This window comes from Homo sapiens, chromosome 6 (genome assembly GCF_000001405.40).
Source record: "Homo sapiens chromosome 6, GRCh38.p14 Primary Assembly".
Lineage (NCBI taxonomy): Eukaryota > Metazoa > Chordata > Mammalia > Primates > Hominidae > Homo > Homo sapiens.
Window position 1 is genome coordinate 65768632 of NC_000006.12, and position 17896 is coordinate 65786527.

The 17896-nt window shown below is 35.5% G+C and overlaps 2 annotated features.

The window, feature by feature from the left end:
• Positions 2703–3204: an enhancer, noted in NCBI's record as "H3K27ac hESC enhancer chr6:66481227-66481728 (GRCh37/hg19 assembly coordinates)". NCBI's record gives its function as "activates a minimal SCP1, AML or CMV promoter by ChIP-STARR-seq in naive H9 embryonic stem cells {active_cell/tissue: H9 hESC(naive)}" and the evidence as "EXISTENCE:reporter gene assay evidence [ECO:0000049][PMID:30033119]".
• Positions 3205–3704: an enhancer, noted in NCBI's record as "H3K27ac hESC enhancer chr6:66481729-66482228 (GRCh37/hg19 assembly coordinates)". NCBI's record gives its function as "activates a minimal SCP1, AML or CMV promoter by ChIP-STARR-seq in naive H9 embryonic stem cells {active_cell/tissue: H9 hESC(naive)}" and the evidence as "EXISTENCE:reporter gene assay evidence [ECO:0000049][PMID:30033119]".

The window sequence follows — 17896 nt, forward strand, 5'->3', positions numbered from 1 at the left end:
AAAAAGTTAGAAGAAATTTAATCTAAATTCATAAGTTTTCTACTTGCTTGTGATACATAGTTTGAGGAACACAGTAAGCCATGATATACGGTAAAATATTGTTTGTACAATTCTTAACTGATGAAATAGTCATATCCCTTAAAATATGTTAGAAAAAAGACCCTTACCAGTATTGAGGTATTACTGGAACTTTAAGTGGAACAATAACTTCGAGTTAGGAGTTGCCCTGTTTCTGGCAAAAGTTTAACATTTCTGGATCCCACCCACCCAACACTGTATTCTATGCATTTATTGTGTGGGTCAAAAATGCCTCCTGGGGAGACACTGCCTCTCTGCCCCTCCTCTTATACTTCTTTCTCTTCTATCAACCCCCATTGAAAAACTGCTGGATCAAGAAGAATCTGAGACAATTCTGCCTTAAGAACATATCCATTTATTCCTCTATTTTATCTGTTCTACATTTAAGTCTCTATCTCTATTGATTTAAAATATTGAAGATATATAACCTCTATTATTCTCTAATAATAAAATTATGTCCATTCGAACCCCTTTTATCTCTCATTTTCATGAAATATGTCAGAAGATGGCAATCAACACAAATTTTTAGAAGTATGTGTAAATGAAATTATTATGAATGTATAATGGGTACAACAGAGATTTTTAGTCTAGAGTCGCCATTAACTTGCTACAAACTTCTTAGAGATTTTATTTATCAATGAAGTGTAGTTAACAAAACCTTCAAATTCTATGACATGGTAATGTTATTACAATAATATAGAATGATGTGTGTGTGATCATTTTACATGAAACGCTGGGATAGTGTTATTTCTTTAAAGTGGGGAAAATTTAATGTGTGCAGATATTCATGTATTCACAAATATATGTCTTGAGGCTTAAAGAATCTGATCACTAGATTCATCAGTTTCTGGCTAGTTATATAAGATGTACAGTGATAAACAAATTATGAATATGACACCATCCCCTTATTTATACTTATATTTAAATTTGTACTTAGTGTGACCGTGAATCACATATATTTGTAACCATTTTCCATTAGTAATGAAGTTTTCTATATTGATACTACTGAAGTATGTTAAAATAGTACCTAATTTCCAGAAAAAAAGCTCTTAAACATGTACACAGTACATAATTAGTACCCAACCCTGTCTACCAGTATTAAGTAATTCCATAAATCTAACCAACAAAAAAACAAAAATACTATTACTACTTCATTTTAAAGACGATGAAACAAAATCACAGAGAGTCTTAAAAAGTGTAAAAACTTACATGGCAATTAAGCACTGGAATCCACATTATAATTCAGGTAATCTGACTAAAAAGTATATATTCTTCACCACTAACAATACAAAGAATGTATATATTTTATGTAAAAATAATTTTGATTTGATAGTCATTTTATTTTAAATTTTAAAAGGCATTTTGAGCTCTAAAAATCAAATATCCTTCAAGTTTGCCACCTGGCAGCTGCTTTGACAAAATTCTATTTTAATTTTCTTCAAAAATTAATATCTGAATTAAGTGTTGAATGGAAGCTGCGATTTGTGAATGTCCAATTTGTTTTTCTCTTGCTAGTCATGTCAACAATCGAATTGGACATTTTTACTTATACATAGTAGGTAGAATTCTGGCAGGAAAGAATATGACAGAGAGGGAAGATGAAAAATATTAATCAACTATAAGGTATCAATCAACACGTTCATGAGGAGAACTTTATAAACTGCTAATCTTTCCCTAATAACACATGACACACAAATGGGGGTGGGACAAGATGATATTAAATTTTAAGAATATTCTGCTAACATTTTAAATTATGCATTATTCCATGTTTTTATACATCCAACATTTAAATAAAATTTATTTGGTATAAAAGCCTGTCTAATAAAGTAACATCACTAATACATTTGATTGTTTCAGTGCTCAAGTACAGATAATGTGTTGCTACCATAGAATACATTTCACACCTTTCTACAACAATTCACTTTCTGAATATATGTCAAGGGCATGTAATTTATCTTTTTCGTCAAAGCTAGCTAAAATATTTACAGTTTTAAGGTGAGCATTTTATGATATACTGCATTATTTTCTTATTATCTGTATGTCATCATAAGTATCTTTTGATTTCTATTATTAAATTTTAAAGTACAATGGAATTTTAACCAGTCTCATTTTGGCAATTTTAAAGTTAAAATTAATACACAAAATAAAAATCTCACCTAGACTTGGATGCTGCTTCTGATTATATCAAGTTTATGAAAATTACTAACAAGCCTCTATCTTTTCCAAACGTTTGTTGTGTTTTTTTTTTTCTCAATACAGTGCTTGACATACACCTGATAACAAGAATGATAAGAAATATTTGGACAATTTTACATGAGGCTATAAAATAAAAAATAATTATTTGATCATGAAACCTAGGTCTCAATTAGTGACTTCAAATCCCTCCCTGGGTCTCAAATAGTGACTTCAAATTCCTCCCTGATGCAAGGGAAGAAATAAGAACATACCAGCAGAAATTATATTACATTAATTCAAACTATTTCTTATTCTCTAAAAAACTGATAAAGAGCCTAAGAGATGTTTATTTATTTCTCATGATGTTAAACATATTGCATAATTATAAATTATTAATGAATATAATGAATTATAAAGGATCTCAATTAGAAAAGGAAACTTTGAAGCCTTTTTCATTGCATTTTAAATAAAATATATAGATTGGGAGCCAAGATGGATGATTCGATGCAGCCAGGAAGAGCATCTCCCACAGAGATCAGATGATCAAGAAGGATGGTATACTCTGGTTCCTGGCCCCCGGGGGCTCTGGGGGAAGAGGTGAATTAAATAGGTGAGGAGTGACCCATTCTCACCACAGACCTCCAGAATCCTAGCTGCAGGAGACCCCATGACCTCCATGGACATTTGAGCTAACAGGGAGAGCTGCTTGGAGAGGTGTTGGGGATAAGATTCCAGCCTATGTAGAGCCAAGAGGGTTTGGCATGGGAACAGCTGCCATGGAACATGACCAAGACATCGATCCCCCAAGGCTTGCTATGCTCCTTTAGGGGGCATTGGCTTTTGTTGACTGTCGAACCTGGACACAGCAGTGTGGTCTTACCTGTGGGAGGGGAAAGTCTAATCTCAGTGCCCCACTGTGTGCTGGCCTCTGACACGGTCATTGCCTGGTCATGCCCACTTGCAGCACAGCCTTGGATGCCTGAGGGGGTGTGGGGCAGTTTCTTGGCAGCTGACATTATAGCTCCTTTGCCAGCAGACCAAGCACAACCATTGAAGAGATTCAAAAGACAAGTCCCTGCTGATGGGCACCCACCCATCCACAGCCTCCTCCCTTCACTTTGACAGCATGCATTTGCTCATGGACTTCTGCACCACTTTGCTGGTGCAAGAGCGTACACAGAACTCACTGCCCCATTGCCACCCACACATGCATGTGCAGATCTCATGGCTGCCACCCTGCCTCCACTAGCATGTTTGCACCCTGCCTCACCACCACTACTGATGCGAATGTGCACACACAGACCTGCCACCCAACTTCTGCTGTTGCCCCACCCCAGCTGACACACATACCCTACTTCACCACCACTGCCACTAACACATGTGCATAAGCACGGACCCCACTGCTGACTCCACTTTGCCACCACTGCCACTAACACATGTGTACAAGCATGGATCCCACTTCATCAGCACCATGATGAAACAGTTTGGCTGGTACTCCCGACCTGAGTGTTACTGTTAACAAATGAGGAACACCTTGCCCCCTCCAGGGCAGGAGGTGCTCAACCTCGAGAGGCCAGAGAACAAAGCCATGGGCCAGGTACCAGCCATCAAGTGTTACAGCATGCAGCCCAGGAGTGCTGGGTTGAGCCTTGGCCCAGTACAATCTTCCAGAAATGAAGCTAGTCAACGGAACCCTCTTTATACCACTCTCAAGGACATCAAATAATATAAAAACAAAACAAAAAAAAACCCATCCGAAAGACAACGACTTCAAAGATTAAAAGAACATCAGTCCACACTGATGAGAAAGAACCAACACAAGAAGTCTGGCAACTCAAAAAGCCAGAGTGTCTTCTTATTGCCAAATGATGTACCAGTTCCCCAACAATAGTTCTCAACCAGGCTGAAATGGCTGCAATGAGACACACAGAATTCAGAATCTGGATTAGGATGATAATCAAGCCTCAGGAGAAAGTTGAAACCCAATCTAAGGAATCCAATAAAATGATATAAGAGCTGAAAAACAAAATAGCCATTTTAAGAGAAAAAACAAAACCAACCCGATAGGGCTGAAAAACTTACTCTAGGAATTCGATGATAAAATTAGAAATATTAGCAGCAGAATAGACCAAACTGAAGAAATAATCTCAGAGATCAAAGACTTGTTCTTCAAATCAGCACAGTCAGACAAAAATAAAGAAAAAATAATTTAAATAATGAACAAAACCTCCAAGAAATGTGGGATTATGTAATGTGTAAATGTGAGATTAGTGCTACACATGAAATCAAACCTAGGATTTATTTGCATCCCTGAAAGAGAGGGAGAGACAAGAACCAACTTGGAAAAAGTATTTGATGATATTGTCGATGAACATTTCCTCTACGTTGTTAGAAACATCAACATTCTACTTCAGAAAAGGCAGAGAACCCCTGTGAGATACTATACAAGATGTCCTTCCCCAAGACACATAATCATCAGATTTCCCAACGTCAATGTGAAATAAGAAAATATTAAAAGCATTTAGAGACAGGCCACTAACAAAGGGAACTCCATCAGGCTAACAGCAAACCTTTCAATAGAAACCCTATAAGCCAGAAGAGATTGAAGACTTATACACAGCATTCTTAAAGAAACACAATTTTAAGCAATAATTTCATATCCAGTCAACTAAGCTTTATAAGCAAAGAAGAAATAAGACCCTTTTCAGACAAGCAAATGCGAAGGGAATTTGTTACCATCAGACCTGCTTACAAGAAATCTTTATGGGAGTGCTATACATGAAAGTAAAAGACTGTTACTAGCCACCACAAAAGCACACTTAAGTACATAGACCATTAACACTAAAAAAGGAGCCACACAATCAAATCTGCATAACAAGGAGCTAAAAACAAGATGACAGAAGCAAATCCACACGTATCAATATTAACGTTGAATGTAAACAGAATAAATGCCCCAATTAAAAGGCACAGAGTGGCAAGTTGGATAAAAAAGCAAGACCCAACTATATGCTATCTTTAAGGGACCAATCTCACATGTAGTAACACCCATTGACTCAAAGTAAAGGAATGGATAAAAATCTACCAAGCAAATAGAATACAAAAAAGAGAAGGTGTTGCTATTCTAATTTGAGACAAAACAGACTTCTTCAAACAAACAGTGATCAAAAAGACAAATAAGGGCATAACATAATGATAAAGGGTTCAATTAAACAAGAAGAATTAACTATCCCAAATATATATGCACTCAACGCTGGGACACCCAGATTCATAAAACAAGTTCATAGGGATCTATGGTGAGATTTAAATGACCATACACTAATAGTGGGAGACTTCAACACCCTGCTGACAGTATTAGACAAATCACTGGGGCTGAAAACTAACAGAGATAACTGGGAGCTAAACTTGGCACTTGACCAAATGAATCTAACACATGTCTACAGAACACTTCACCCAACAACAGAATATACATTATTCTCATCTGCACATGATACATAATCTAAAATCGACCACACAATCAACCATAAAACAAATCAACAAATTCACAAAACCAAAAACATATCAACCACGATCTTGGACCACTGTGCAATAAGCAAAGAAATAAGTACCAAGAAGATCTCTCAAAACCATGCAATAACATGGAAAATAAACAACCTGCTTCTGAATGAGTTTTGGGTAAACAAAGCAGAAATCATGAAATTCTTTGAAACCAATGAAAACAAATAAACAACATACAAGAATCTCTGGGACACAGCTAAAGCAGTGTTATAAGAAAAGTCATAAGAAAAGTTTTAGCACTAAATGCCCATCTCAAAAGTTAGAAAGATCTCAAATTAACAAGCTAACATCACACCTAGAAGAACTAAATAAACAACTCCAACACTAGCAGAAGAAAAGAAATAACCAAAATCAGAGCTGAACTGAATGAAATGGAGACATGAAAACCCATACAAAGGATCAATGAAACCAGAGTTAGTTCTTTGAAAGAATAAATAATATTGATGGACTGGTAGGTAGACTAATAAAAAAAGGAGAAAATACAAATAAACACAATCAGAAATGATAAAGGTGATATAACCACTGACATCACAGAAATACAAAAACAAACAAACAAAAACCTTCAGACAAGACATTATTACAAACATCTCTAGGCACACAAACTAGAAAACCTACAAGAAGTGGATAAATTTCTGAAAACATTCAAACTCCCAAGATTGAACTAAAAATAAACTAAAACGCAGAACAGGCCAATAATGACTTTTGAAATTGAATCAATAATAAAAGCCTGCCAACCAGAAAAAGCCCTATACCAGACAGATTCACAGCTGAATTTTACCGGATGTATAAGGAAGAGGTAGTAACAAACCTGCTGAAACTATTCCAAAAAATTTAGGAGAAGGGATTCCTCCCTAACTCATCCTGATATCAAATCCTGGCAGAAACACAGCAGAAAAAGTTAAAACTTCAGGCCAATTTCCCTGATGAACATAGATACAAAAATCCTCAAGAAAATACTGTATTCAGCAAACTGAATACAGTAGCATATCAAAAAGTGAAGTCACCATAATCAAGTAGGGTTTATCCCTGGGATGTAAAGTTGGTTCAACATACATGAATCAATAAATATGGTTCATCACATAAACAGAACTAAAAGCAAAAAACATATGATTGCCTCAATAGATGCAGAAAAAGCATCTGATAAAATTCAACATCCTTTATATTAAACATCCTCAATAAACTAGGCATTGAAGACACACACTTCAAAATAATATGACAAGAGCCATCTCTGACAAGTTCACAGCCAAAATCATATTGAATGGGCAAAAACTGGAAGCATTCCCTCTGCGAACTGGAAGAAGAGTATTACTCTCACTACTTTTATTCAACATAGTACCGGATGTCCTAGCCAGAGCAATCAGGCAAGAGAAAGAAATAAAAGGCATCCAAATAGGAAGAGATGAAATCAAGCTATCTTTCTTCACATACATAATGATTTTATACCTAAAAAAAAAAACAGGGTTTCTGCCTAAAAGCTTCTAGAGCTGATAAACAATTTCACCAATGCCTCAGGATACAAAATCAATGTGCAAAATTTACTAGCATATCTATTCACCAAAAACATCCAAGCTGGAAGCCAAGTCAAGAACAAAATACCGTTCACAATAGCCACAACAATATTAAAATACCGAGGAATACAGCTAACAAGGGAGGTGAAAAACCTCTAGAATGAGAATTTAAAAACCCTGAATTAAGAAATCAGAAACAACACAAACAAATGGAAAAATATTCCATACTCATGGATAGGAAGAGTCAATATTGTTAAAATGGCTATATGGTCCAAACCAATGTACAGATTTAACACTCTTCTTATCAAACTACCAATGGCATTTTTCACAGAATTAGGAAAATATATTCTAAAATTTATATGGATATAAGGGGTTGCATAGCAATATATTCAAGCTTCTGTACAAGGCATTTGAGGTCAGGGCATAGAAAAACACTGAGGTACTGTGTGTATGTTGTTTGTGCATGAGACTGTAACTCCTTGACCCTGAAAACAGGACAAGCAATTGAGTGTGTGATACGGAATGCTGAAAACAGTCTCCTAAGAATGTAGTTTAACTGCTTTTACAAGGCCATATGTATCTCATGACCCGACGGCAAAATGCCATCTGGTGGATGTCTGTAGTAGCAAGCCCTTTCAATAAATACTTGGTGGATGGATTCTGGGGGGCACTCTCTCAGAAGAGCTGCCCCTCACCCCGCTCAGCTGGAATTGTCTGAGTACTCATTCTTAGCATTCACTGAAAGCTATAAGCTGCAATGGAACCAAAAGAGAACCCAAATAGCCATGATAATCCAAAGCAAAATTACAAAGATGAAGGCATCATACTATCTGACTTCAAACTACACTACAAGGATACAGTAAACAAAACACCACAGTACTGCTTAAAAAGTAGACACACAAACCAATGAAACAGGTTACAGAACCCAGAAATAAAGCCTCACACCTACAATCACCTGATCTTCGACAAAGCCAACAAAAACAAGCCATGAAGAAAGGGAACCCTACTCAATTAATGGCAAAATAAATGACTAGTCATATGCAGAAGATTAAAAACGGACCCTTTCCTTTCACCATATACAAAAATCAACTCAAGATAGACTAAAGACTTAAATGTAAAACCAAAAACAATAGAAAACCTTGAAGAAAACCTAGAAAACACCATTCTAGACATAAGCCCTGGCAAAGACTTCATGTCGAAGATGTCAAATGCAATTACACCAAAAATAAAATTGGCAGAAGGGACCTAATTAAACTAAAGTTTCTGCACAGCAAAATAAACTATCAACAGAGTAAACAGACAACCTACAGAATGGGAGAAAATATTTGCAAACTACGCAACCAACGAAGGCTTAATATCCAGAATTTATAAGGATTTTAACAAATGAACAAGTAAAAAACAAACAACCCCATTATAAATTGAGCAAAAGATATAAACAGACATTTTTCAAAAGAAGTTACACACATGACCAACAAGCATATGAAAAAATGCTCAACATCTCTAATCATTAGAGAAATGTAAATCAAAACCACTGTGAGATACTATCTCACACCAATCAATCAGAATAGCCAACATTAAGAAGTCAAAAAATAAGAGATTCTGGTGAGGTCATGGATAAAAGAAAACATTTATACACTGCTAGTGGGAAGAGAAATTAGTTCAGTCACTGTGGAAAGCAGTTTGGAGATTTCTCAAAGAACTTAAAACAGAACTACCATTCCAACCTACCAATCCCATTATTGGGTATATACCTAAAGGAACACAAATCATCCTACTTTAGAGACACATGCACACATGTGTTCACTGCAGCACTACTCACAATCAAAGATGTGGAATATACCTAAATGCCCATCAAAGGTAAACTGAATAAAGAAAATGTGATACATATACACCATGGAATTCTATACAGCCATAAAAGAGAATGAAATCATGCAGCAACATGGATAGTGCTGTAGGCCATTATGCTAAGTGAATTAATTTAGGAGCAGAAAAGAAAATACCGCATGTTCTCACTTGTGTTTGAGAGATGAACATCAAGTACACACGGACACAAAGAAATGAACAACAGACACCAAGGTCTACTTGAGAGCTGAGGGTGGGAGGAAGATAAAAATAAAAAATCTACCCATCAAGTACTATGCTTATTACGTTAGTGATGAAATACTCTGTGCACCAAACCCCCATGACACACAATTTATGCATGTAAGAAACCTGCATGTGTACCCCCGAACCTAAAATAAAAGTTGAAAATAAAATAAATATATAAATAGAATGAAACAGTTTTTGTAATCACCTTAGCTTACTTTCTTAGAAAATTCTGTTATCAATAGGAATATAATTTATTCATGATGTAATATTTCATATTTTTAATATTTAGAAGCATGTAAATAGCATGCCAATTTTATATATGTGAATTAGTCCATATGTAAATGGGACATAATTATACAATAATGAATTATTTACTAAACTTATAATTCCCAAATTTCCAAACTCATGTTTTATATTTATACACATTTTTTTTTGGATACAGAGTCTCACTCTTTTGCCCAGGCTGGAGTGCAGTGGTAGACTCTCGGCTCACTGCAACTTCCACATCTCAAGTTCAAGTGATTCTCCTGCCTCAGCCTCCCAAATAGAGGTATATGCTTTTTATGTGGTAAGCTTTGGTGATGTCTGAATATTTAATAACTTGCATGGCACAGACACAGAACAGACACTAGCTTTGACAAAAAGAAAAGGACAATCATTAGTGTGCAAATTTAGAAAATATCACCCCTTGTAGGTCACATTACAATTTAGTAATTAATAGAAATCTTTGACCTAATTCTTACTCTTGGGACCATTCTTCCTTTCATATCCAAGTGACTTTCCTCCCTTATCTTCTTTGTCTTTGCACAACTATCACCTTTACAGTGACTACTCCTTGACCATCCTATTTAAAATGGCACATGTACTTTCCATCTTCCTCATTCTGCTTAATATTTCTCTATAGCACTTATTGCGAATAAAATTTTATTGACACATAGCCATACCCATATATTTAGCTATTGTCTGGGGTTGCTTTGTCACCACAGTGCCAGTTTGTAAAAGTATGAGAGATCCCGTGGCTGGCAAAGCCTAAAGAAGTATATAATATCTGGTCTTTGCAGAAAGGTTTGCCAATCCACACCCTGCATAATTCACTTATTTATTATGTTCATTGTCTGTCTCACCTCAGCAGATTATAAATTCCATGGAAACAGAAGTTTTCTCTTTTTTGTTCTTTGCATCACTTTTCTATCCCAATTACCTATTAACAGCACTTGACACATAGTAGGCACTTAATAAATATTGGTAAAAAAAGGAATGGATAAATGGAAAACTAAACAAAATGTTTATCACATTTTCCATATATTTGCTCTCTTCACTAGTTATGTTTTTAAAAGACTTCTGCACAGCAAAAGAAACTACCATCAGAGTGAACAGGCAACCTACAAAATGGGAGAAAATTTTCGCAACCTACTCATCTGACAAAGGGCTAATATCCAGAATCTACAATGAACTCAAACAAATTTACAAGAAAAAAACAAACAACCCCATCAAAAAGTGGGCGAAGGACATGAACAGACACTTCTCAAAAGAAGACATTTATGCAGCCAAAAAACACATGAAAACATGCTCACCATCACTGGCTATCAAAGAAATGCAAATCAAAACCACAATGAGATACCATCTCACACCAGTTAGAATGGCAATCACTAAAAAGTCAGGAAACAACAGGTGCTGGAGAGGATGTGGAGAAATAGGAACACTTTTACACTGTTGGTGGGACTGTAAACTAGTTCAACCATTGTGGAAGTCAGTGTGGCGATTCCTCAGGGATCTAGAACTGGAAATACCATTTGACCCAGCCATCCCATTACTGGGTATATACCCAAAGGACTATAAATCATTCTGCTATAAAGACACATGCACACGTATGTTTATTGCAGCATTATTCACAATAGCAAAGACTTGGAACCAACCCAAATGTCCAAAAATGATAGACTGGATTAAGAAAATGTGGCACATATACACCATGGAATACTATGCAGCCATAAAAAATGATGAGTTCATGTCCTTTGTAGGGACATGGATTAAATTGGAAATCATCATTCTCAGTAAACTATCGCAAGAACAAAAAACCAAACACCGCATATTCTCACTCATAGGTGGGAATTGAACAATGAGATCACATGGACACAGGAAGGGGAATATCACACTCTGGGGACTGTTGTGGGGTGGGGGGAGGGGGGAGGGATAGCATTGGGAGATATATCTAATGCTAGATGATGAGTTAGTGGGTGCAGTGCACCAGCATGGCACATGTATACATATGTAACTAACCTGCACAATGTGCACACATACCCTAAAACTTAAAGTATAATAAAAAAAAAATTTACAGTTTCATTAAAAATAGGTATATGAGAACTTAAAAAATAAAAAGCAGTATGTAAATTTTTTTATGGCAGGCATTATAAATTGTGGCCAATTATTCATAATAAAAATAAAAATAAATTGTTTAACGATTTCATGACTTTTAATATATTATAGAAATATGTAATATATTTAATTTTTGTATTGTCAGACATAATTCACTGGCAGATGGAAAAATAGGAGTACTTTACCCATTTGAAAGTAAAAGTGAAAATGGATATTGCTATTCTTTTTTTAATGTGACAAAAATTTTTTTAAAAAATGGATTTATGATGTGGAAAGAGTATAGAAAAAAAGCTGCTTCATTTTAGTGTTCATAATAGACAAGTAAAGTAATGTAAAGAGTTGTCAGATTTGAACACAAGATATTAAGAAAGTAGATTTCAAAAACATGAAAAAAACAAAATTTCAAAAGACTTTACGTGTGACTACGGCTTAAAACAAATGGAAAAAATGTGGTAAGTAAATTTTGATAAAACAATATGACGCAATGTCAGTGACAAAGAAAAAGTTCTTTCTTAGACAAGACCTAAGAAATATAAGTAGTTTTTCAAGTTAATGGTTATGTTAAAAGCTTATGTACAGAAAATTGTGAAACATTTTCAGTCATTAGCTGAGACCTGACACCTGATAAAGGCTAGGAAATGTATGTTACAATATTACGAGTCAAAAAACAAAAAGAAAAAGAATGTTCCCACTAAAAAGAAAAGATGGTGTACTGTTCTACATTGAAAATAAGAAAAATTAATTCTCCACTTTACCATGGCCAGTTGGGTTCCCAGGTGCTAGAAAACAGATTCTGAGACATACATTAGCCTGAAGAATGTTTGTTGTGGAGTTCTCCTGGGATTATCATCTGTGGAAGGAACAGAAATAAAGAACTGAGCAAACGACGAAGATGAGTTGTAATGCACTCCCAACCAAAAGGGCACCCTTTGGGAGTACTCTGGAGATATGGCCCATCAGAATTGTTTCAAGTTGAAGTGACATAACCAGGACATTTTACCCTTCCTTTGATAAGCCATGGGTGAGGCTACTATTGGAAGGAGTAATAATGTGGATCATGGTAATTTTCTTCAGAGGAACAATTCACAAATAGGGCTTAAATGCAAAAATGTCTTTGGGCAGAATTCACAATTAGTGTGTTGATAACACAGGGAGTTCATGCATGAAAAGACATCTAATCAATGTATCATAATATCAATTATAGTCCACTAACTTCAATGAGGTCTGGGAGTAGTTCCGCTTGGGTCGCGGTGAACCTCTCTTGCTGAGGTACTTAGAAGATTAAGGTTAATGGAATAGGTTCTAGTCCTTGCTTCTGCAGCTATTCTCAGGACCACAACAGAACAATCATCATTTCCATCCTCTGCTGTATATTCTTAATTCCCCTTACCTTCTGGGGGCTTATTTGGTGTTGCAAACCAGGCATCATCCCAGAGGGTTGTGAGAAGTTGGTTAGCATGCCCTATTTGGTGATATGTCTTTTATTTATTCTTGTTGTTCATGTTTTCTATATATTTGCTGATTTTTTTCCTAGTAAATGTATCTATCATTGAGAGTAGAATATTGAAGTCACTCAAAATTTGTCTATTTCTTCTTTTAATTCTTTGTGTTTGCTTACTATATTCCTGGGGTCTGTTTTAACATGCTTATGTATTCACAGTTTTTAATCTCTTGATAATAATAGATACTTTAATTGTGATGATAAGTTGTCTTTAGTAACATTTTTAAAACTTATTGTGATAAAATTAATGTAGTCACTTCATCTCCTTTATGCTTTCTTTTTGCACAGCATGCCTTCTTTAATTCCTTCAGCATTTCAATTTATTTTCATATTGATGGGAATAGAATTGTGGGTTATGTGTTGTCAGGGTAACCCCAACTGTTTGCCAGTTTACTTATATCATTCTATTGTCCTCTGACTTACATAGTCTCAAAGAGAATTCAGTATTTCTCACAGTTTTCTCCTTTATATAATGATCCCCTTCCCCCTACAGCTTTCTTCAAGATTTTCTTCTTTACCTTTTGTTTGTATAAGTTTAAATATGATATGTCTAGGTGATATTTTTGGTGGAGTGCCCTTACTTATCCAGTTTGGTTTTCTATGAGATTCTTGAATCTGTGGTGGCTCTTTATTATAATTTTGGAAAATCCTCATCCATTAGGTATTGAAATATTTTTTCTCCTTTTTTGAGACACAATTATGCGTATATTACAATGTTTAACATTGATTCATAGCTTTTGGTGGTCTTATGGTTTTTATTCTTTCTCCTTTTTTCTCTTTACGTTTCTGTATGGATAATTTTTAATGATTTCATATTGAAATTCATTAATTATTTCCCTAGGTATTTTGGGTCTATTCTGAAGTTTGTGACAGTGGCATTTTTCCAAATACATTTTTCTTACAATTTTTGTAGCATTTTCATTTAATTTTTTAGTTTTCATTTTATGGTATTTTCTATCTGATCTTGCAACTTTTTCATTAGAATCATTAATCTATTTTAATCATAGTTATTTTAAATTCTCCATCAGACAGTTTGAATATTAGTATCATGCCTGTGTGTGCTGAGAAAAACGACTTGACTCCTGAAAATGGCCACAGCTTTTCTTCTACTGGGCCTTTAGTGCAAGGTGTTAAGTAATCTAATTAGGAGTTGGGTTGGGTTAGATGTTAGTTTTGTTTTGTTTTTGGTTGCTATGAGTACCCTCAGTGAACCACAGATTTCAAATTCCTATAGCTACTTCATGGGTTTATGGTATAGATTGAGTTTTTAGAGCAATGTCGGTTGGAGTATAAAATTTAGGTCTTCCCTTTATATTTGCCTCACGACCTTTGCATTCTCTTGATCCTTCTGTCCTTCTTCCAGGAATAATATACTGTTGATTGTTACTCAAAACTTGTTAAATTGGTCATGAGGAGGGCAGTTGGAGGAGTCCATTCTCTGTGGCTCTGGATTAAACTTCTGTCTTAGGTATGACTATGTTCCCAAGTCTCAGGATTGTAGGCTTACTTTTTTCACCCACCAAGGACTGTAGTTGTGGGCAGAGTACCTATCCTGCCCTTCTCCTAAGAACAGCTCCCCCCTCCCCCTTTTTCCTTCCCACAGATGCAATTAGTCCTTACCAATGCCTTAAAAACAACAATGCTTTTTGTCCTTATACCTACCTACTGAGGCTTTTGCTTCACAGTGAAGGTATGCAAGAAAGATCTCGGTACAATTTCTTGCACTTTTATACAGCTCCTGTTACCCAACCCCAGCTTGCATTCCAATCAAACTTTTTAGGGATCTTTCTGATATCATCTGTGAGTAGAGTTAGTGTAAGTATGTCTGCAAAAGGGTATGAACTTCCCCAGTTTCTGTGACTCCCAGGCCACAGGTTTATACTGTTCACCACTTCACATTCAGCTTTTAAAACTTTTCAAATATTCTGTTTGAACTCTTCTTACTGATTTCCAGTGGCTTGTAACCCGGATGAGCAAGTACTCACATCTACTGTTTCCCAAGAAAAGTATTTTATCCTTAGATTTTGGCCAGTTTGTTGTTCTGCATCCTTAGCTATGCAAGGAGTTTAAAAATAAAATCTGAATTTAAAGTTGACCTGATTTTTAAAATTACATAATGAAATGACCTTTTTCTGTTATCTACATTTACAAGCAGAAGTATACTTAATTTTAATTAGTAGTTATTCCCATTTCTCAGAATATTAAGACAGCTTAGCTATAGCCACCCAATTCCATTGTCCTTATAGCCATTATTTCAACTCTACTATTCTTCTCATCTAAACAGAGCAAATATTTCTCCACAAATAAACCATACCACTAGTTCATAAAGCTTACCACCAGTAACTTTTATAAATTACATAGCTATCTTTTTTCAGGAACTGTCTATACTTCACCTACCTGCAATGACAGTTTCTCATTGTTAAGGCAGCAAGTGATTCAACTCCAAAATTTAACTTTAAATTTGCTTGTTTGATCATTTCTGACTTCAACATTCAAGTTGAATTACAAAGGAAATGGAATATGACACGTAGATATGCACACAGGAAATGTATAGGGGCTGCTGGAATCAGTGTTCTTGAAATGGAGGAAAAGGAATGAGGATTACGAATATAGAAAATGTGAGTGCTATTCAGTTGCAACCAATGCTCAGCTGACCCCACAAGGATTTCTGAAACTAGGATACACTTCAGAGTTGTCCTAAATTGAGAAGAGGACTTCCATACTCCTATGTTGTTAGGCCATTGGAGGGGTCTGCCCACAGAAAGAGTCATGACATTGGGAAAAGTAGTTTTCTACAGCTGAGACAATGCTAAAGAGAGCTTACAGCTAAGACTTGTTAATTGGCAAAATTTGAGCAGGTAGCTACAATGACAACTTCACGCGAGAAAAGAGATCTGGGTGGCATATTATAGCCTCCACCATATTTACTTTTTTTTCCTTTTAAGTAAAAGTATCCTTAAAATTAATAGAGTTATCATTATTAAGGATTTACTAATTAAAATACATATTCTGGTTCTACAGAGTCCACTGACTAGTTGGCATGAAGTGGAAGTAGGCAGGCAATAAAAATACTGTAGTGTGAACATTTATATTGTTACTAAGCTGGAACTTTTCTGGAAAGTGCCCCTGCCTCTGTCTGCCTTAAAAACAAAAGCGCCTGTGCCTATATAAATTTAATGTTTACTCCAAGAAATCCTCACCCAAGAAGTTAGGATTATGAACTAATAAATAACTTTACTGTTTGCTTAAAGAAATTATTGCAACAAAAGTATCTGAGAAAACTATTTGTTCACATCTGAGCAAACAACTGTCAGACAACATTTTTCACACCTAAAGAAACAGCTCAGTTATTACAACAGTTCCAACTAGTCTTCAAAATCTTCATCCTTCTTTGTCTAGCAATCCTATTGTGTAAAAACTTTATTCAGTTCCAAAACATTCCCCATCTCTAAAGACCCACTTTAAGCCACTCGAGCTAATACTTTAAAATCCCATAAATACCCTTCGCTAACATCCTGTCTTTGAGACACTATTGAGACTGTGTCCAGGTAGTGTTCTTTGTTGCTGCACAAATTTAATAAACTAAGATTTGCTTAACCAACAGATGTTTTGGTGGTTTGTGGAAGAGACTATAATTATCCATTCTGGAAATCACTTCAAGAACCTTTTAAGATCTTCTTGGCATGGTTGAAGATCCTCAATTCAGAAACAGTACATTATCCTGTCATCTAATAAGTATCCTATATGGGAACCTTTCTGACCACAATAGTAAATTACGCCCCACATTTAGCCTGAGCTATGATTTCTATTGTCTAGATCAGTTATAGCCTACAGACTATAATTGTTCATTTATGTCTATGTCTTTGCTGCCACACCAGCAGTGTCAGATAGGACAAAGACAATATGATCCCCACAACTGAAAATATTTACTATTTACTCCTTTAGAAACAATATTACTGATCTCTTATTTCAAACTGATGGCTGAGTTTATCTCCTGAGAATGGAGGAATCACTCCTCTATAAATCATTTGCTTATGTGCTCATGAATTGAAAACTCTTATCTTTGGTAAAAACACGTCAGTAGCAACACTCTAACTTTTCTCTCTGTTTGTCCTTGTCACTTTTGTTTTGAGTCTTTTTAAGAAGGAGTTTATAGAGTAGAGTGGGCATAGATCCAAGAAGTCTGTCCCTTAAGATGGCCCCAGTGCTCGTAAGATAAAAAAGTCGTATCATGTGTTAATCCTTACTAGGTAAATTTTGTCTTCCTTAATGTTTCAAACTTAATGAAGAGTTTCCTATGTCTTGTAGTTGTTTATTTGTTTTATACTTGTCTAGATCAGGAATTGCCGAATTATGGCCTGTAAGTCACACCTTTCTTTTATGTGTATGGCTATGAATTTACTTGGTTGCCTCTGTTCAGTGCTGGAGGTTTCTCTGCACTACAGTTGGTGATGGTTGGTCTTTGACCAGATTCTGAAGACACTTGATTTTAGAAACACCATTTTTACCTACTGCAGTTCTCTTAAAGTCTTATTAGTCTCTCCGCCAAACAGAGCTTTCTTCATGTTTTAATTCATGTATACATCTCTCTAACTGACACAATTTCACCAAGAACAAT